The sequence below is a fragment of the Homo sapiens genome, chromosome 16 (assembly GCF_000001405.40).
Source record: "Homo sapiens chromosome 16, GRCh38.p14 Primary Assembly".
Taxonomy (NCBI): Eukaryota; Metazoa; Chordata; class Mammalia; order Primates; family Hominidae; genus Homo; species Homo sapiens.
Genome location: NC_000016.10, coordinates 4817889 through 4838935, shown reverse-complemented (window position 1 = coordinate 4838935; position 21047 = coordinate 4817889). Strand labels below are relative to the sequence as shown.

General features: G+C 47.3%; 1 protein-coding gene across 11 annotated transcripts in view; it reads left to right on the top strand.

The window, feature by feature from the left end:
• The window catches only part of GLYR1 (glyoxylate reductase 1 homolog), a 44086-nt gene that overhangs the window by 8353 nt on the left and 14686 nt on the right, over positions 1 to 21047 (top strand). For 5 of the 11 annotated variants that reach the window (NR_136696.2, NR_136697.2, NR_136695.2 and 2 more), the window contains 6 exons: positions 6024 to 6162; positions 6715 to 6957; positions 15029 to 15115; positions 16005 to 16061; positions 17339 to 17389; positions 17483 to 17556. Coding sequence is in view for 5 of the 11 variants with exons in the window: in NM_001308096.2 (NP_001295025.1) it covers positions 6024 to 6162; positions 6715 to 6957; positions 15029 to 15115; positions 16005 to 16061; positions 17339 to 17389; positions 17483 to 17556 (651 nt within the window). In the remaining 6 variants the exon portion in view is untranslated. The remainder of the gene's footprint in view (positions 1 to 6023; positions 6163 to 6714; positions 6958 to 15028; positions 15116 to 16004; positions 16062 to 17338; positions 17390 to 17482; positions 17557 to 21047) is intronic. The other 6 variants (NR_136698.2, NR_136699.2, NR_136700.2 and 3 more) reach the window with 2 other exon arrangements.

The following is a 21047-nucleotide window of genomic DNA, read 5'->3' as shown; positions in this document are numbered from 1 at the left end:
CAGCCTGGGTGACAGAGCAGGACCCTGTCTTTTAAAAAAGAAGAGTTTTGGCCAGGCACGGTGGCTCACATCTGTAATCCCAGAACTTTCAAAGGGCAAGTCAGGCGGATCACGAGGTCAGGAGATCAAGACCATGCTGGCTAACATGGTGAAACCCCGTCTCTCCTAAAAATACAAAAAAATTAGCTGGGCGTGGTGGCGGGCACCTGTAGTCCCAGCTACTCGGGTGGCTGAGGCAGGAGAATGGCGTGAACCCCAGAGGCAGAGCTTGCCGTAAGTCGAGATCGCGCCACTGCACTCCAGCCTGGGCAACAGAGTGAGACTCTGTCTCAAAAAAAAAAAAAGAAAAGTTTCATCAGTGGCTGTGGATGATGATGGAATGGAGGGAGTGTTCATTTAAATTACAGGTGCTTAGAAGCCACCAGAAACCAACCGGTTCAACAGATTGTGGACAAACAGTGGAGAAGCTGCAAGTGCCTACCTGCGAGTTTCCATAGCAGTCTTCCCCTCCAGTCCTCACAGCAGCCCTTTCAGGAAGTGCACAGGGTCATCTTTCTGGTTCTTATTTTTTCACAGATGAGGAAACTGAGAGACCAGTGGTCCTTTTCCACCAAGCCACATCTAAGGTGGACCGGTCTCGCTGGATGTGAGGTGTCTGAGTCAGTACTGAAAGTAGCTGCTCTAGAAGAATATGTGGTTAATAATTAGAAGCATAGCAGCTTGGAAGCATCCCTTTTTCGTTTCACCTGGCACCTGATTTGTGTGTGTTTTTTTCTGGTGCCTTTATTTCTGAAGAACTTGGCCTGTAACACCTCAGTAATCTTCAGCCCCTTTGGATGGATTTTTTTTAAAAAGGCACCCATAGAAATTGTTTACTAAGTATTCACCAAATCCAAATGGAGAAGCAAACCCACACCTTCTGGCCCCATCTTTGTTCTCACCTGTATTTTTATTCTTATCTTTATTTATTTATTTATTTATTTATTTATTTATTTATTTATTTTTTGAGATGGAGTCTCGCTCTGTCGCCAGGCTGGAATGCAGTGGCACGATCTTGGCTCACTGCAACCTCCGCCTCCTGGGTTCAAGCGATTATCCTGCCTCAGCCTCCGGAGTAGCTGGGATTACAGGCGCATGCCACCGCACCTAGCTAATTTTGTATTTTTAGTAGAGACAGGGTTTCACCGTGTTGGCCAGGGTGGTCTCAATCTCTTGACCTCGGCCTCCCAAAGTGCTAGGATTATAGGCGTGAGCTACCGTGCCGGCTTGTTCTCACCTTTATACTCTATGCTTGTGTGTGTGTGCTTTTTCTCTGTCTGTCTCCCTCCCCCTGCCATCTTCTCCCCGTCCTTTCTCCTTTTCTCTTTCTCTTAGCTTCACGGCTTCACCCCGGGTCACCTGTCTATGTGAAGGCTGAAACACATGTGACAGCGTTCAAGATTAGTCATAGGCTGACATCTTTAATATACAGTATCTACATGTATGATTTTCTTTTTTTTTTTTTAAAGACCAAGTCTTGCTCTGTCGCCCATGCTGGAGTGCAGTAGCACGATCTGCACTCACTACAACCTCCACCTCCCGGGTTCAAGCAGTTCCTGCCGCAGCCTCCTAAGTAGCTGGGATTACAGACGTGTGCTACCACAACTGGCTAATTTTTGTGTTTTCTGGTAGAGATGGGGTTTCGCCATGTTGGCCAGGCTGGTGTCGAATTCCTGGCCTCAATCCACCTGCCTCGGTCTCCCAAGGTGCTGGGATTCAGGCATGAGCCACCGCACCGGGCCCTACATGTATGATTTTCATTTAAGAGGAAAGCAAATCAGAAGTGTGCAAGTTTTTGAAAATACCAGATTTTAATTCATTTTGATTGGAGTAATCTGAGAGTGCCTTAGTGGCGGTTCTGTATTCATAGATGAAGAGACTTTTTATAGGAAGAGTGTCAGGTCACCAGGGTAAATTGGCTGTGTTACAGGTGCAGTTATGCCAGCAGCCAGGCAGCAGCAACCCACCAGAGCAAACCTGCAAACCAGGAAGTCATGGAGGAAACCCTCTGGGCAGTCGGCATAGCCTGTGTTCTAGGGCAGAGGCCTTTAGTATTGATTTGTTTTGTTTTTTTTTTTTTTTTCCAATATAATATGTGTTCACCATTCAAAAACAAAAACTTGTCAACATTGAAACAGTTGCATTCATCCCCATCCCACAGCCACCCAGTTAGACCAGTTTCTGATGATGTGTCCCTCCAGAGATATCAGTGCGTGGTCAGTCCATTTTCCTTGTCTTTGCACGAGTGGTAGCACATAACATGCATTGCTTTTTATCTTGCTCATCTCCACGTAGCCAGATATCTTACGAGACATCCGCTTTCCTTCTCTGTAATGACCTTGCCTGTTTTCAGCTATTTACTATCACAATGTGTCATTCATTCTACTGTACATAAAAAGCAAAGTCTCCTACTTTAAATACAGCTTGAATAAGCTTGATTTTTCTGACTTCCCAGCCACAATTGGGCTGAAAGATATAGCTCCATCTAAGTCTTGGGAGGATGATAGGAAAATCAAAAGTTACAGCTTCTATCAAGGAAAGAAACAGTCACTTAAAAAACCAACAGTAGCAACAACAAAAACACTAAAGCCTTACGCACTGGAGCATTGTAGCACCTTTTAACTCACTGGTGAGCAGTACATCCTCCTGAACATCTGGGAAGGAATCATTTACCCAGTGATTATTTATTGAGGACCAGTGGTGTGCCAGGCCCGGCTGATGTGCCTCCGTGAATTAGACAGTGGTGCATTGTTGAGGCGCCAACTGAAAAGCATATTCTCATTAAAAAGACAGAGGTAGGCCAGTTGCAGTGGCTCATACCTGTAATCCCAGCACTTTGGGTGGCTGAAGTGGGCAGATTACTTGAGTTCAGGAGTTCGAGACCAACCTGGGCAACATGGTGAACCCCATCTCTATAAAAAATAAATTTAAAAAAGATGAAAGAAGTGTAACCTTTAGAGAAAAAATTGTATTCAGATAGCCAAAGTGATTTAAGTTTGGTTTGCTTTCAAGAGGTAATCCCCATAGAGCTCTGGTAAGCTGGGTTTTTTTGTTGTTACTGTTTTTGAGGTGGAGTCTCACTCTGTTGCCCAGGCTGGAGTGCAGTGGCACAATACTGGCTCACTGCAACCTCCGCCTCCTGGGTTCAAGTGTTTCTCCTGTCTCAGCCTTCCGAGTAGCTGGGATTACAGCTGCGTGCCACTACACCCAGCTAATTTTTATATTTTCAGTAGAGACGAGATTTCACCATGTTGGCCAGGCTGGTCTCAAACTCCTAACCTCAGGTGATCTGCCTGCCTCGGCCTCCCAAAGTGCTAGGATTACAGGTGTGAGCCACCGTGCCCAGCCAAGCTGGTTTTTTATGGCTGTTTTTTGATGTAACAGGATGCTTCTCCAGCAATAAGTTGATTCCTTAAATAGATTAACATTTCTTGGATTTACCATCCTATTCATACTGTCAGTTCATTTAGCCATTTTAATGTTTCGAAGATGGTTGTAAAGAGGAAAATTTTAGTATCTCAAATGCTTTAAAGTGAGTGGAATTTTGACTGTACAGTTCCTTCTAGCAGAAATCAGTAAACCTTGTAAGATGCTTCAACAAAAAATGGGGTTGATTCCTTGGCACTTCACAGACATCCTCACCTTTCTGTTCCCTCAGAATCGGGTTCCTGTGAGGCTGGGTAGTGGGAGGCAGGGATGGAGGTAGCAGGATGGCGTGGGTGGGATTAGCAAGTCTCGGAGTCTGTTGTCCCATCTCAAGGGGTTCCATAAAAATCACCTTTTTGGTCCTATATTGGGAACTTGTGTGGTTCTCAGCTTCTGACCAGAAGCTCCTAGGAAGAACTGGCTGGTCACGACTCCTTAAGCTTCATCCTTGATACTGGTTGTGTCATCTCAGACCCACGGGTTAGTATGGTAGCTTCACTGGCTTTTGGGGCTGGGTCTGACTTTGCATCTGATTGCTCTGGCCTGTCATTAGCATCCCTGTAAGGAGAGGGAACGGAGTCAGTTCAGGGATATTCTTGCCAGAAAATCTGGGGTCGAAATCTCCTTCCACTTTTCCTCCCAGCAGATTGGACTCATTGGCGCTCTCATGTTGAATTTCAAACTTTAAGATGAGTTGGTCACTGGAAAGGAGTTTGCTGGCTCACACCTGTAATCCCAGCACTTTGGGAGGCCAAGGCAGGTGGATCACTGGAGGCCAGAAGTTCAAGACCAGCCTGGCCAACACAGGGAAACCCCGTCTCTACTAGAAACATAAAAATTAGCTGGGTGTGGTGGTGCATACCTGTAGTCCCAGCAACTCGGGAGATAGAGGCAGAATTGCTTGAACCTGGGAGGTGGAGGCGGAGGTCGCAGTTAGCTAAGATCGTGCCACTGCACTTCATCCTAGGTGACAAAATGAGACTCTGTCTCAAAAAGGAAAAAAAAAAGGCCAGGTGTGGTGGCTCACGCCTGTAATCCCAGCACTTGGGAGGCTGAGGCAGGAGAATCACTTGAACCTAGGAGGCGAGGTTGCCGTGAGCCAACATCGCCCCATTGCACTCCAGCCTGGGCAACAAGAGTGAAACTCCGTCTCAAAAAAAAAAAAAAAAAAAAAAGGAATTTGCCTAACTCCTCTAGTTGGAGCTGTGCCAGGGAGACCAGCTTCTGTATCTCCATTCATCATCTCACTTAGCCATGGTGGCATGCCTGATAGTGGTTCGCTGCCTGACATCTGCAGGCCGATGATCCCAGGTCTGTGTTTTTGCACAGACCCCATTATCACAACTACCAGCAGCACACTCAAAGTCCAGGTAGCTGGTGGAGGGTTAGTAACATTATTTTTATGTGCAAAGGTTAACACTTGCTGTTAGTGAATATTCTCTAGCTTTCTATGAAGAAAACAACCTGAAGCTTGTGAGATAGCTGGGTTTCTGTATCCTTAACCTGACCTACTTTTTCTGAAGGTTATGCTGTGAAACCTGTATCACAGGCTAAAACATGTAAACTAACTGATACCTTGTAAAGCCTATAAAATTATTTTGTGCTTGGATTCTATAAGCTGCATGCCATTCAGGGAAGCCATAGAAAGCCAGCTGCAGCAGATTTGTTCAGGTTAGTGTGACAGATCAGAAACCCCAGAATTGACAGCTGACTACTTTCACTTTCATGTGTTACACATTGATGGTTGAAATTAAAAATTACATATCGGAGGTGTATGTTCTTCTACCTTTAATCTCAAGCATCTTGTTTCTATTTTTTTTTTTTTTTGAGACATCATAAAACAGCATGCCATCTTGTTTTTAAATGCCTCCTTTTGTAACTGCTGCCCTTATTCCAAACCATGTGTTCCGTGTTTTGTGTGGTTTAGTAGCCATGGTTACCATCATTTATGAACAAATATAGGCTCAGTGGCTGTGAATATCCATAGGAACCACAAATTTTAGAAGATGTTGCATTTCTTCAGCTCTGTAACATCCCTGACTCTCTGTGGATCAACAGATCATAAATCTGGTTCCCATTGTTGACAGGCAGCAGGCATTTTCCTGCATAGTAATGCTGCTATCATCTATCACATTTCCAGGTACCCTGATTCCCAGGGATCTGTGTGTGGCCATTTGTGCTGCCTGGTGAGAATGGGAAAGGGTCTCCAGATTTCTTTCTGCCCTGAGCAAGTGGCAGCGTATATGTGGTTGGGCATTGGAGGCTGATAGACGATTGTGGAAATAAATAATCTGCAACACAGTGCTTTCACTGGAGGAACTTGATTTGTGGTTGCTGCAGTGGTGGTGATGGTTGTTCTGCTTGACTTGTTTCAAGAAAATATACTTTAGACATAAGACTCTGAGATGGTTGATAGCATGTTTTGAAAGAAATGGCAAGGCCTATTGCAAAGTCCAGTTAAACCAAATGGATATTTACACCGTGCCATAGTGAGGTTGTTGATACTTTAGGGCATATGCTATATGGTTCACACCCTTTTTGTGTTTGTTTTCTGCTAGTGCCTGGATCAAAGTGGAACAGCTGAAGCCATATCATGCTCATAAAGAGGAAATGATAAAAATTAACAAGGGTAAACGATTCCAGCAAGCGGTAGATGCTGTCGAAGAGTTCCTCAGGAGAGCCAAAGGGAAAGACCAGGTGAGAGACACAATGTTCACTTTCTACCAATGCCAGACTGGTGATTTTTGCATAGCAACTAACAGATTAAATGTCACCCAAACGCAAACCTTTGTTCTTCTGAAATGCTACTGGAGAAAGCTACTTCAGTTCTAAGGTGTCAGCGTTTTGCTTATCAGTTTGAAACTCCATGCAGCTAACCTTTCTGGAGTAGGTTGTTGCTTTTAGGAAAATTGCTTGGACCCAGGAGAAATATCTCAGCATTTGAGTCTAGCACAGGCCATTTCTTCCTTTCATAGCACACAGATTAGGAGCATAGCCTCTGAAATACATATACTGCCTAGATTTAAATCCTTTCTTCTAGTTTTGGGACATAGGGAAAGTGACTTTTGATATATATATTTTTTAAATCTGCTTCTCCCAATGTCTGGGACGACAGCAGAATCTATTTCTAGGGTCATTGTGAGGAGACCACACAGAGTGCCTGTAGCAGCACATGGCACCTGTAAATGATGGTGGCGATGGCGGCAGCAGCTGTGGTGGTAGTTATCATTATTATTATTAAACTTTCAGACGTCATCCCACAATTCTTCTGATGACAAGAATCGACGTAATTCCAGTGAGGAGAGAAGTAGGCCAAACTCAGGTGATGAGAAGCGCAAACTTAGCCTGTCTGAAGGGAAGGTGAAGAAGAACATGGGAGAAGGAAAGAAGAGGGTGTCTTCAGGCTCTTCAGAGAGAGGCTCCAAATCCCCTCTGAAAAGAGCCCAAGAGCAAAGTCCCCGGAAGCGGGGTCGGCCCCCAAAGGATGAGAAGGTTTGTTTTCTCTCTGCAGCTTCCGGGATTAGTGATGTCCTTTTAGTACAAGGTAGAGTTAAGCTCTACAGTATGCTTATGTAGTATGCTTATCTATACTCTGCTCATGGAGTGGGAGCAGAATTCTGTGCTCAAGAATCCTGCAGGGCAGGTGCGGTGGCTCATGCTTTATCCCAGCAACTCAGGAGGCTGAGTCAGGAAGATGGCTTGAGCCTTGGAGCTCAAAGTTGCATTGAGCCGATTGCACCACTGCATTCTAGCCTGGGTGATGGAGTGAGACCCCGAATCTTATTTAAAAAATTAAAAAATAAAGAATCCCATAGACCAGGTGAGAGACACGGCCTGGATGCAGGTGTAAAGTAGGAGCGCGAGGCAGGAGAGCAGTCCACTTGAGCCGGTGCACAAGGGCTGGCCCTGGGAGGGGCTTAGCAAGAAAGAAGGGTAGGCATTCCAAAGATGGAGGGCACAGCCCGTGTGAGGCTCGGTGCTGGTGGAGATACTCTCGAACAGGGAGAGGATAGTGAGGAAAGCCGAGAAAAAGGAAGCTTGTCCCTGGATCGTGGAGGGCCTGAAGGTCTACTGAAGCAGCGTGGTACTAAAGCGTCTTGGAGTCAGTGGGGGCCCGGGAAGGTGACTGAGCCAGTGGCAGTGTGTGCCTCCCGTGTGTGCACCAGTAGTCACCGAGTGCAGAGGGGAAAGTCTCAGAGCCAATTAGGAGGTAAGTCTAGGCGTGCATTCATAAGGGGGTAATTGCAAATGTTGCAAGCAAAGAGGTGAGAGGCACTTCAGAGGAAGAGTTCTTAAGATTCCATAATTGGTTATATAGAGGATGAATGAGAAAAAGGAAAAGAGGATTTCCATCTTCATTCCTGGGAAAGTGGTCATCACTTTCTTAAAAGTAGAGGACTGGGGATGTAGAGGTGGCTTGTGGAGAAAGAGTACCAGTTCTGTTTGGAATGTCAAGAACTTGAGGCAAGGCCTAGACAGCCTGGGAGCTTGGTGTGACCTCAGGACTAGAAATGTAGATTTGGGAGGTGAATTTGTAAAAGGGTAGTTGAGTCCGGGCAGTGGAATGGGTTTGTTTCAGGAAGAGAGGGAGAAGAGGGAAGCGCGGAGGCCTGCATTGCCACAAGAATGCCGTGCTTGGGGCAGGAAGGAGCAGGAGGAGCTAGCAAGATGAGATAAAGCAGTGAGAGTGCCTCTCTCGCCTTCTTGCTGACAAGATTTGGGGCCGGTCTTACAAGGCCACAGAGAAGAATTTCAAAGTGAAGGGGACTGTGTCAGGAACGCGGTAGGATTGTCAACAGCAGGATAAAGAGAACAGAAGCCAGATGGCTGGCAGCAACAGTTGGGTGACGAGGCCATGATGGAACATTAGACCTTGGATCAAGGCTCAAAAATTCAGACACCAGCGAGCCCAGGCAGGTAATGGAAGCAACTGTAGCTGACTGGACCTAAGAAGCAGTGGCACGGGTGCCAGGCACCCCAGCTGACCTGCCTTGGTGCTCAGAGCAGCAGGGCTGGCCATGGTCAGGGAGTCTGGGGAGGTCATGCTCTGTCCACAGGGTTCTAGCCAGCTTCTGCCAAATTGTCTGTTTTTTCTCAAGAGAAGCTGGGAAGGCCAGTTGTGGTGTCTCATACCTGCAATCATAGCACTTTGGGAGGCTGAGGCAGGAAGATCACATGAGCCCAGGAGTTCAAGACCAGGCTGAGAAGCATAGTAAGAGCCTTTCCCTTAAAAAAAAAAAAAAAAAAAAGACAAAGTTGGCCAGGTGCAGTGGCTTATGCCTGTAATCCCAGCATTTTCGGAGGCTGAGGTGAGCAGATTGCTTGAGCTTAGGAGTTGAAGACTAGCTCTACAAAAACTAAAAAATTGGCCAGGCATGGTAGCTCACACCTGTAATCCTAGCACTTTGGGAGGCCAGTGCAGGAGGATCCCCTGAGCCCAGGAGTTCTAGACCAGCCTGGGCAACATAGGGAAACCCCATCTCTATTAAAATTTTTTTTGCTGGGTGCAGTGGCTCACACCTGTAATCCCAGCACTTTGGGAGGCCGAGGCAGGTGGTTCACCTCAGGTCGGGAGTTCGAGACCAGCCTGACCAACATGGAGAAACCCCGTCTCTACTAAAAATACAAAAATTACCCGAGTGTGGTGGCACGCTCCTGTAATTCCAACTACTCGGGAGGATGAGGCAGGAGAATCACGTGAACCCAGGAGGCAGAGGTTGCAGTGAGCCGAGATTGCGCCACTGCACTCCAGCCTGGGCGACAGAGTGAGACTCCGTCTCAAAGAAAAAAAAAAATTTAATATAAATGAATTAAAAATTAGCTGGGGTTGGTGGTGTGTGCCTGTAGTCCCCCCTACTCAGAAAGCTGAGATGAGAAGATCACTTGAACCCAGGAGGTGGAGGTTACAGTGAGCCAAGATTATGCCACTGCACTTTAGTCTGGGTGACACAGCGAGACCCTGTCTCAAAAAAAACAACAAAAAAAGAAACAAAAAGTACTAGTTGGGCATAGTGGTACACACCTGTAGTCCCACCTACTTGGGAAGCTGGGGTGGGAGGATCACTTGAGCCCAGGAGGTCAAGGCTGTAGTGACCTACAATTCCACCACTGCACTCCAGCCTGGGCAACAGTGTGAGACCCTATCTCCAAAAAAAGAGAGAAGCTGGAAATACAGGTTTTTATGTGAAATATCCCAATTTTAAATGTGCTTAGTTCAAAAATATGTCTTGGGGCCATAGAAACATCTCTGTGGGCTGCCAGTGTGAGGCCTCTGGTGAGAGACAGCCCTTCTCACTGTTAGATGACCTCAGGCTGAGGGAGTGGTGAGAGCAAGGGTGGCAGTGCTGTCCCTGCATACCGTCAGCCCAAGGTTTGGAAAAGCTGCCAGCTGCAGTGCAGAGAGAACTTTATAGGGAACATGATCTAAATTGACCCACAAAAAATGTAATGTGACTTCTGAGTTTATTTCCTGGAATCCAAAAGGAATCTGGGCTGTCAGATTTTATGCTATTTCCCAAATTGATATTGTCTGGTATGTGAAGCCATGCATCTCACCGGTGCCTGTGCCACCCTGGAAAGAAATACCTTCTCGTTGGATAAAGGGAAGTACAAAGGAGAGGTTATGACGAGGGCCTGGAGTTTGAATCACGTATATAGGACCTTAGCAAAGCACCTTTGCCCCAGTTTCCTTGTCTCATCGTTAGGAATTACAACAGTACGTGCCTCCTAGGTTCACTGTGTTAGTTAAATGAGTGACATGGACACAGCACTTAGAACAGTGCCTGTGTACAAGGCATTTGATCAGTTCTTTAGGTTTGTTTCGCAGACACTGGCCGTTTGTACAGTGAGAACCCCAGAGGCCACTGCCCAGGCTTACAGGAACTCGTCTCACGAGCTCCCAATAAACTGCAGACAGCCCTTGGGTCTGAATTATTAATCTGGGGAGTAGTGTAGCATACGTTGGAGATACTGCAGGTTCGATTCCAGATCATTGCAGGTCACACAAACGTCTTGGTTTCCCATTGCATGTTAAAGTTAGGTTTATACTGTAGTCTATTAAGTGGTACAATAGCAATATGTCTTTTTAAAATGTACATACCTTTGCCGGGCGCGGTGGCTCACGCCTGTAATCCCAGCGCTTTGGGAGGCCGAGGCGGGCGGATCATGAGGTCAGGAGATGGAGACCATCCTGGCTAACACGGTGAAACCCCGTCTCTACTAAAAATACGAAAAATTAGCCGGGCATGGTGGTGGGCGCCTATAGTCCCAGCTACTCAGGAGGCTGAGGTAGGAGAATGGCGTGAACCCGGGAGGCGGAGCTTGAAGTGAGCCGAGATCACGCCACTGCACCCCAGCCTGGGTGACAGAGCGAGACTCCATCTCAAAAAAATATATATATATACATGCCTTAAGTTAAAAATACTTCATTGCTTAAAAAAAAAAATGCTGACAGAGACACAAAGTGAACACATGCTGTTGGGAAAATGTCCCCCATAGATTTGATTGATACTGGGTTGCCACAAACCTTCAATTCGTTTTTTGGTTTTTTGGTTTTTTGGTTTGTTTTTTTTGAGACGGAGTCTCGTGCTGTCGCCCAGGCTGCGGTGCAGTGGCGCAATCTCGGCTCACTGCAAGCTCCGCCTCCTGGGTTAATGCCATTCTCCTGCCTCAGCCTCTGGAGCAGCTGGGACTACAGGTGCCCGCCACCACGCCCGGCTAATTTTTTGTGTTTTTAGTAGAGACGGGGTTTCATCATGTTAGCCAGGATGGTGTCGATCTCCTGACCTCATGATCCACCTGCCTCGGCCTCCCAAAGTGCTGGGATGACAGGCGTGAGCCACCGTGCCTGGCCCGTTTTTTTTGTTTGTTTGTTTGTTTGTTTTTTTAAGTGCAACACCTACAAAGCACAATAAAACAACGCATAATAAAACGAGGTGTGTCTGTGGTCCAGGAGCTCTAGCTGCTATTGACCCTTCGAGGTGTCCTTCCTGCCTGTTCTTTGTGCTTCACCTGGCCCATAGTGAAAGGACGTATGAGCAGGAGAGGACAGAGCTGGCATGTGGTACAGGACAGATAGCCGTTTCAGTTCAGCACCTTCAGACAGGTAGGGAATCGGTGCCTGGGCTTTGGAATTTTGGTGTGTTTTAAATGCGATACATCCCGTAGTCTCAGAGGAGGGTGTTTGTGTGTGTGTTGCTATAGTAATTGTCATTTGGCTGGCGAGCTCCTCTCAGAAACACTGAGCAGTCACATAGGCTGATAACTGGGCAAAGCCCAGCTGAGTGCCATTCCGGGACATAATCTCCTGCCCCGTGAGGATTAATGGAAAAAGCTGACCTTGATGGCGGAGGCAGGCAGGGAAAGGCTGGGTTTGCGTCTGGACCTGCATGTAAGAGCTGCACCCCAGCAGCGCCCACCTACCCTCTTTCTGGGGATGAACTCTGGGCACAGCCCACCCAGATCAAAGTAGCGCTGTTAGTTCTGTGACTCTCCCAAAATCCCATACTCACACGAGGAGCAGAAGTTTAGGAGTTGGGGCCCTTCCTTAGTGCCAAACTGAGAGTTACAAGCTGCCTCCTCCTTGTTTCCATTGGGTCATTGTGGCCTTAGGTGAGTCCTAGGGCTGCACCACCCAAGACAGCTGTGCTGCCCCAGCCACAATTGGCCATTTAAATTGAAATTAAATGCACATTAAAATGCAGCTTCTCCATCACCCTATTGTGTGAGATGCTCCACAGTGACGCTTGACTGGCGCCTGCTCTATCACACAGTGCAGATGGAGTACACGCCCATCATTGCAGAATATTCTTTTGGGCAGCTCTGGGCTGGGCCTTTTCTTTTCCCCCAAAAACCTCTGCATTCAACAAATGTTTATTGAGTAATTCTCCTATAGGCCAAATGCCTGGAGAGAAAGCAGCATAAAAGTCAGACGAGGCTCCTTCAGTAAGAATTGAACCTGGACTGTATGGCAGCATGGGTTGTAGAGTAGGCCAGACTGGCAGAGTTCTTGCTTTTCTAGGATGTGCTTCTAATATGACAGACCCTGGAGCCAAATTCTGTCAGTCTGCTAGGCACAGTGGCTCACTCCCATAATCCCAGCACTTTGGAAGGCCGAGGTAGGAGGACCACTTGAGGCCAGAAGTTAGAGACCAGTCTGGCCAACATAGCAAGACCCTATAAAAACAAAAAATTAGAAATTACAGAAAACAAATAATTGCAAATAAATAATACATCTACAAAAAATAAAAATAAAAAATTAGCTGGGCGTAGTGGCACACACCTGTAGTCCCAGCTACCCAGGAGGCTGAGGTGGGAAGATCACTTGAGCTCAAGTGGTTGAGGCTGCAGTGAGCCATAATTGAGTCACTGCACTCCAGCCTGGGTGACAGCTAGACTATGCCTCCAAATAAATAAATAAGTTGTGTCTACCACACCAGTGACTGACTCGGTGACCTTAAGCAAGGTTACTTAAGCTCTGTGTGCCTTAGTTTTCTATTCTGTAAAAGAAGATTATAATAGGGCTGGGTGCAGTGGCTCACGCCTGTAATCCCAGCACTTTGGGAGGCCGAGGCGGGCGGATCACGAGGTCAGGAGATCGAGACCATCCTGGCTAACATGGTGAAACCCCGTCTCTACTAAAAATACAAAAAATTAGCTGGGCATGGTGGCCGCGCGCCTGTGGTCCCAGCTACTCAGGAGGCTGAGGCAGGAGAATCGCTGGAACCCAGGAGACAGAGGTTGCAGTGAGCCAAGATTGTGCCACTGCACTGCAGCCTGGGCTACAGAGCAAGACTCCGTCTCAAAAAAAAAAAAAGAAGATGATAATAATTCTGTTTCATGAAGGGGCAAGAATTACATGAGAATGTATGTATAAAATAGGACTTATTGTGATGTCTAGCACATAGTAAGCCCTATGAAGGCATTTGTTCTCATTATAATCCACATCAGCATCATGTTCTATGGGCAAACATAAAAAGAGGTCAGGTGAAGCCACTCTGATAAGGTGACATTTCAGCAGAGTCCCAAAGCGAGCCTGAGCCAAGGAGATAACTGTCAGAAGAACGTTCCAAGTAGCACAAGGGTGCCAGGGCAGGCACATGCTTGGTGTGTTTGGTGCGGGGGGGAAAGCCAGCAGGGTGCTAACGAGCTAGAGAGCAGTGACGGGGGAAGAAATAGGACTTGAGGTTGGAGATTGGCGTGGGATGGGTGGGAGACGGCAGAACTTGCAAGACCCTCCCTGTAGACCATGCTCATGAAGCCCGTAGCTTTACTATGTGAGACTGGAAGGCAGTTTAAGGCAAAGAAGCATCATAATCTGATTGGCCCTTTTGGTAGCTGACTCTGGCTGCTGTGTAGAGACTAGACTGTGAGTGGAAGCAGGGAGATTTATTTTTGCAATTGTCCAGGTGGCCTGAGCTTAGGTATTAGTAGCAGGGATGGTGAGAAGAAGGGGTTGGGCAGATCGCCAACTGTAAAGCCCCATTCATTGTCAGTGGATTAGAGAAGAGAGGGGTCAAGAAGGGCTCTAAAGATATCGGCCTAGTAGAATGGAGCAGGCGTTTTCTAAGACTGAGAAAACCTCAGGAGTAGTTTAGGCAGGGGGTGTCAAGAGGGCCACTGTGGCTGGAAGGGAGTGACTGGGGAAAGGGAGTGCAAGGTAACATCAGAGCAGTCGAGAGGGACCAGACCAGTGTTAAAACTGGAAAGAGGACCCTTTGCCCAGGAAGAAGGTGAGCCGGGCCATCGATGAAGAGGAGCTTCTCATCTCACCATGTCCTCCTGTGTCCGTCTCAGGAGAACTCAGGCTCTTGGGCTCTGGCCACCCTGGAGTTTAATTCTGCCTTTGTCATGATAGCTGTAAAATGTGGGCAGATCTCATCAGCCCCATGTGGTTTTATTCGTTTCTTTGAAATATGGCGGATTCCTTCTGAAGCCACTACTGTTTCTTTTTTTTCTTTTTTTTTTTTTTTTTGAGATGGAGTCTTGCTCTGTCTCCAGGCTGGAGTGCGGTGGTGCAATCTCGGCTCACTGCAACTTCCACCTCCCCGGTTCAAGCGATTCTTCTGCCTCAACCTCTGGAGTAGCTGGGAGTACAGGTGCAGCTAATTTTTGTATTTTTTAGTAGAGACGGGGTTTCACCGTGTTGGCCAGGCTGGTCTCGATCTCTTGACCTCATGATCTGCCTGCCTCGGCCTCCCAAAGTGCTGGGATTACAGACATGAGCCACCACGCCCAGCCACCACAACTGTTTCTTAATGTTTGGTATTCACCATAAGGCATTTACTCTGAAACTTTGCAGACAGTACTGCAGATCGTACTTGGGCTTTCTAATTACCTCCATCTTTGTGAAATTTAGACATAAGTACACATTTTATTATTTCCAGAATTGAGAAGAAAGACTCACTTTGTGTTAATGGGAAGAACTGGCTTGTTTCTCCCGAGGGACGGTCATCAGAACAGTGGTTGGGGATTGGCTTGAACTTTCCCTTAGACTGTGGAGCTTGCAAGGGGTTTTGTTGGGGTTTGAATGTGATTTTAAAATGCCCTGCCCCTCCCTCTATAGGATCTCACCATCCCGGAGTCTAGTACCGTGAAGGGGATGATGGCCGGACCGATGGCCGCGTTTAAATGGCAGCCAACCGCAAGCGAGGTAAGGAGCTCTCCTGCAGGCAGGACAAGCTGTGGCTTAGGGCGAGGTTCCTGTGTGATCCTTTTTTTTTTTTTTTTTGTCCCTTTCTTGTGTGTGAGGCTTAATTTATTATTACAAAACAGTACAGAAGTCTATGAAATAAAAAATTAAAAATTTCCCTCTAGGGTGAGCACTGTGAGGCTCGAGGTGACGGATTTCAGTCCTTTGGGATGCCCACTTAGCATTCATTTACATGATTATAGACCTATGTCTAGTTTTTTTTATTTTGGGCAGGGTTCTTTTTCACAAAAGTGGGATGATTCCACAAGTTTTTTTCCCCTAATATTTTATAAACACCCTCTTATTGTCCATAAATACAACTTTTATGTTTAGTTTTATTATCCTTGGTGCGGCTACACCTGTTGCTGGGCATAATTATGGAAAGCCCATGAAGGTCCACTGTCGTGGCTACTCTGTTTCTGTTAATATGCTCAGTAAGATGAGATCGCCAAGGGCTTGGTACCAGACACAAGTAGGCCAAAACCCTGAAATTCCAGAATAGATGTGACTTAGTTTGCTGGGTTATCTGCTGTGCCTGATGAGTACCGAATTTATAAAGCACAGGTATGCTTGTTAATATTTTCCCACAGGCTCATTGGAATAATTTGTGTACCAACCTAGCAGAATCATCTATTCTTTTACACTTTAAAGCCAGTTTTCCTCTAGCTGGAATGGGGCTTGTTTTTATAAAAAGGCTTAGGCCAAAATGGGAAAAGAGTTTCCAGACAATTGTGAAAAAGAGACCAGAATCCAGAGGTGTTGCAGCCAGAGGAGAGTCCAGTTACCAGGGAGAAGGAAGTGACCTTTGGTGGCAGATAACTGGTTTTATTTCACTGTTTTCTGGTTTCAGCCTGTTAAAGATGCAGATCCTCATTTCCATCATTTCCTGCTAAGCCAAACAGAGAAGGTGAGTTGCCTTTGAGGCTCTTGGCCCTTGGTCAGGGGCTGGCCAAGGAGTGCTCCTCCACTGGGTCCTGGCCTGGCCATCTGAAAAGTTAGGCTCTGCCGGTGTATTGCCCAGAGCAACTAGCCCAGAAGCCCCCATATGGGCCCGCTAATGAGCCAAGCATTGTTAAGATTAAAAGTAAATCCAGGCCGGGCGCGGTGGCTCACACCTGTCATCCCAGTACTTTGGGAGGCTGAGGCAGGTGGATCATGAGGTTAGGGATTCAAGACCAGTCTGACCAACATGGTGAAACCTCATCTCTACTAAAAATAGAAAAATTAGCTGGGCATGGTGGCGCGTGCCTGTAATCCCAGCTACTCAGGAGGCTGAGGCAGGAGAATTGCTTGAACCCGGGAGGCAGAGGTTGCAGTGAGCCAAGATTGCGTCGCTGCACTCCAGACTGGGCAACAGCGTAAGACTCTGTCTCAAAAAAGATAAATAAACCCAAAGGCCGGGCATGGTGGCTCATGCCTATAATCCCAGCACTTTGGGAGGCCAAGGCGGGTGGATCACCTGAGGTCAGGAGTTCAAGACCAGCCTGGCCAACATGGTGAAACCCCATCTCTACTGAAAATACAAAAATTAGCTGGGCATGGTGGTGCATTCCTGTAATCCCAGCTACTTGGGAGTCTGAGGCAGTAGAATCGCTTGAACCCAGGAGGTAAAGGTTGCAGCAAGCCGAGATGGTGCCACTGCACTCCAGCCTGGGCGACAGAGCGAGACTCTATCTCAGAAGAGCATTTAAAACTCAGCCAGCTGTGTAGTTGAGACTGTCACAGTGACCTTTAGAGTTTAGGGCAGAAACCAAACATCGTAAGCTGTCAGCACCCCATGAAATTGCATGGCAGACACATCTTCAAGCTCACTCCAAGAGGTAGTCTCCAAGTCCTGCGGATGCAGAGGGAGGTCCTCCCAAGGTCTGCAAGGTTATGGGGTGGCCTGAGCCGTGCTAGGATCTCATGAGAGTTTGTGGCTTTGGAGTTGGATAGATGTGGGTTCCAAGCTTATGACTCTTATTCTCAACACCATGGTCAGCAAAAAGACCTGGTAGAATTGCATGGGGACTTGAATGAGGTAATGTGTATGAACTTTCTAGTGTAAAATTTGGAGTTCACTAAAGTATAAAACAAATAGTTGATGTTAACTTCCCACTTTGGGTCTAACCTTTGAGGGGATTATTATGAAGACTGGTTAAGCCTGCAGTAGCACAAGTAGTCTCTTTCCTCCTCCTTCATTAGCCAGCTGTCTGTTACCAGGCAATCACGAAGAAGTTGAAAATATGTGAAGAGGTATGTAGGCTCCATGCCTCCCCATTTTAATTTTCACCTGGGGCCTTAAACTGCAGGCAGACTGACTTGATGATGTGTGCTTCCTGTCCGTAGGAAACTGGCTCCACCTCCATCCAGGCAGCTGACAGCACAGCCGTGAATGGCAGCATCACACCCACAGACAAAAAGTAGGACCTTTGATGAAAAGGCCTCCAGTGGCTCTGGTTCTGCTGAGGGTGGGGAGAAGGTGACCCCAGGGGGGTTCTTTAAGGGTTGTGTCCCAGCCATTGCTGGCATTGAATGGAAAAGGTGGGGGGATGTTGTAACTCTTATCGATAAAGACAGGAGTCAAAAGCTGTGTAAATCTGTGGTCGGGTCTCCCTTGGGCATAAGCTGAGGGATTTTTTTGGCTCCAGAACTCAAGAGCAAGGAGCACTTGGCTCAGTGGTTCTCAGACTTTCCTGTGCCTGACAGTCACCTGGAAGGTGGCTTCTCAGTCAATATGTCCGGGTGGGGCCCAAGAATTTGTATTTTTAACCAGTTCCCAGGTATACTGCTGCTGCTGGTCAGAGCTACGCTGTGAGAACCACTGGCTGAGTAGAATCATGATGAGGCCCCAAAATTGGCCATGGTGGGGCAGGTGGGGGAAGGGAGATGAAAGTGCTTGGGGATCCTCACTGAGCACTTGCTGGCTGTCCTGCACCCTGCCCGGTGTGGGTGGGGCGATCCTGGACATGCTCCCAGACCCAACTTGCGCCCAGCCTTGCCTCTGTGCCTGCTCTGTAGGCATGTCTCCTCCGCAGAGTCTTGTTGGCAAAAAGATACCTTTTCTAGGAAAACACGTTCTCTGGAGCAAGTTAGCTAAAGTCAGTTTCCAGTTTGTACCTTTCACATGGTCTTCCCCAGACTAAAAACAGTGCATCTTTTACATGATATTTTTGTACTGTTTAAATCACTAATGCTACCAGTTATTTTTGGTGAACTTGTCTCTGTAGAGTGGAGGAGATAAGGGCATATTAGGTGCAAACAAAGGGGAGGAGGATTGTGTTAAAAAAATAAAAATAAAAAAATGATCAGGATAGGGTGAGGACAGAGTCCTGATGTTTTTACCCAACACATTTATTGGCCCATTAGTCAAACTTTTAATAAAAGAGTATGAAGCCAGCATCAAAACCAACCAGTTTTGTTGTTGCCCAACCCACCTTAATCCACATTTCCATTTTGTCTGAGACACAGTGTGAAGGACTCTCAGTTGCCATATTAAAAATCCAGAACCTTGACCTGGGCATGGTGGCTCATGGCTGTTATCCCAGCACTTTGGGAGGCCAAGGTGGGCGGATTACCTGAGGTCAGGAGTTCAAGACCAGCCTGGCCAACATGGTGAAACCCTGTCTCTACAAAAATTAGCCAGGCATGATGGTGGGTGCCTTTAATCCCAGCTACTTGGGAGGCTGAGGTGGGAGAATCGCTTGAACCCGGGAGGTGGAGGTTGCAGTGAGCCAAGATCGCACCACTGCACTCCAGCCTGGGCAACAGAACGAGACTGTGTCTCAAAAAAATCCAGAAGCTTTATCCCAGGTCTACTGGACTTCCTAGAACACCAAGAAAGGAAAGGGAATTCGCCTGTCATGATTTAGAATCATGGGGGAATATTGTACTACCCAAATAATGAGTGACAAAAAGGTACCTCCTTGTTTTTAAGCCACAACTTGAAGCAGTTAGCAAGGAGGTCTATTTTGGTGAGAAAGTTGGTGGGTTCCATTTTCAACATGTGATTCAAATTACTTAATACAGGCTGGGACAGGGAGAATGTGAGCAGCTGATATTCCAGCTGAGATTAGGGGTCCATTTGTAGAGATGGTTCCAGAAGACCAAAACTATGGAAAGAATGACAGGGTCAAAGTGGAGGAGCTGCCGGGGACATCCAGCAGTCAGAGAATTTCTGAATTGAAAACATGGCCAAGCGCAGTAGCTCATCCTTGTAATCCCCACACTTTGGGAGACCAAAGCAGAAGGATCCCTTGAGGCCAGGAGTTCATGACCAGCCTAGGAAATACAGCAAGACCCCGTCTCTACAAAAAAATTTTAAAACTTAGCCAGACATGGTGGCATGCACCTATAGTCCTAGCTGCTCAGGTGGACTGAGGTGGAAGGATCACTTGAGCCCAGGAGTTTGAGGCTGCGGTGAGCTATGATCACCCCCCTGCACTCCAGCCTGGGAGACAGCATAATGCTGTCACTAAAAAAAGAAAAAAGGCTGGGTGCAGTGGCTCACGCCCATAATCCTAACACTTTGGGAGGCTGAGGTGAGAGGATTGCCTGATACCAAAAGTTCGAGACCAGCCTAGCCAACATAGCAAGACCCCCCCATCTCTCTTTTTAAATAAATAAATAAATAAAAATTAAAAACTATAAAAACAAGAACATGATATGATCAGAAATGAGGAAAGGCATTCTTTTGCACCATTGTCACTTGCAAAGAGAGGTGAAGAAGTACAAGAATCAAGAAAAGACACTTTGGCAAGCTAAAAGTCATCCGTAAAAGCATGTTGAAATAGCAGCAGTGGCATCCAGCCCCCAGCTCTCAGGGTTGCAGGAAGGAGCAGGCGGAGTATGTGAATGTGTGTGGAGGAGACTGGCCAATGAGTGCTTCTGTCACAAGGATTGGGAAGGACCTGTGGAAGGAAGGGCTGGGGGAACAGTGAGAGGTTTGGGGGAAGGCAGGCATGGGGAGAAGGATTTGTGGACTGGGAAAGATTGGGTTCCAAGCTCAGGTGAAGGACTTAGCTTTGGAGAGGAGAGGCAAGGCCCATTCTGTTGATAACGGGAAGACGGGAAAGGTAGGGTGTGGGTAGAGAATTGAAGTTGGGAAAGAGAGGTGAAAATTGCCGTCCTGGTTCATGCAGTCAAGGAAGTTGCCTGGCTCTAAACACAGTGCTTCAGTGACTTGTGGTGGATTCTGTTGGGCTTTAAAGTAGTATCCAGAGCCGGGTGCAGTGGTTCACACCTGCAACCCCAGCACTTTGGGAGGCTGAGGTGGGCGGATCCCTTAAGCCCAGGAGTCCAAGACCAGCCTGGGTAACATGGCAAAAGCCCATCTCCACAAAAAATTAGGTGTGCTGACAGATGCCTGTAGTCTCAGCTACCCAGGAGGCTGAGGGGGAAGGATTACTTGAGCCCAGGAGGTCGAGGCTGCAGTGAGCCATGATTGCACCACTACACTGCAGCCTGGGCAACAGAACAAGACACTATCTCAAAAAATAAGTAAAGTGTGAGGCCGGGCATGGTGGCTCACGCCTGTAATCCGAGCACTTTGGGAGGCCGAGGTGGGCAGATCACGAGGTCAGGAGTTTGAGACCAGCCTGGCCAACATGGTGAAACCCTGTCTCTACTAAAAATACAAAAATTAGCTGGGCATGGTGGCGTGCGCCTGTAATCCCAGCTACTCAGAAAGCTGAGGCAGGAGAATCGCTTGAACCCAGGATGCAGAGGTTGCAGTGAGCTGAGCTCGCGCCATTGCACTCCAGCCTGGAACAGAGCAAGACTGTCTCAAAAAAAAAAAAAAGGGCAGCAAGGGGACTTTGCCCTGGGAGACTGGCCCTGAACCATACACATCATACTTTTTTCTGTGACAGTCAGGGGTTTCAAAATGCCTGTTTACATCCTGGGACAGCTTTAG